Source organism: Homo sapiens, chromosome 20 (genome assembly GCF_000001405.40).
Source record: "Homo sapiens chromosome 20, GRCh38.p14 Primary Assembly".
In the NCBI taxonomy this organism is placed as follows: domain Eukaryota; kingdom Metazoa; phylum Chordata; class Mammalia; order Primates; family Hominidae; genus Homo; species Homo sapiens.
In genome coordinates, this window is record NC_000020.11 from 11,045,967 (window position 1) to 11,046,618 (window position 652).

Genomic DNA, 652 nt, shown 5'->3' on the forward strand with positions numbered 1-652 from the left:
TGCTAGGTCTTGGTGATGTCATAAACACTTATGACAGCAGTAGAACTTTAAGATTGAATTACCTTCTTTGTACCCACTGAAGGAGCAGGCCTTGCTGTGTATAACACATTGTGTAAGCTAAACAGTGTTTGGCGGTTTTCACATGGCACATGGGAAGAAGGGAACTTGATCTGTGAACCCAGAAGATCATGAATCTGATAAGAAGAGAGATAATTTAACCCCGAAAATTGCTTTGGTCTCTGATATGTTATTTTCAAATTAAATAAATTAATATGTGCTGACATTTTCCTACCCTAATCTTAAGGCATCACAGTTTGATTAGTCTAATGATGAGTTTCAAGTTGAGCATTTCATTATGTAACTAAAAACACCATAGTCCAGTATCATAAAGTTAGTTAATAATTTTAAGTGCATTAAAATTTATAAGTCGAAATTCATATAGTAGGCAAGGGGGAGAGAATCAAGCCTGTTTCTTTTTCCTTAGCAATGGAACATTTGGTAGGAATATTACCAATTGAATATTCTAGGAGTAGAAAACACGGACAGTTTATTCAAGATTTGAATTAACAAGGCAAAAATACCAGCTTTGAAAATCAAGTGAGCTGTGGATGGTATATAATTGATGTCTTCAAAGCCAAGGAGAAAATGAAGT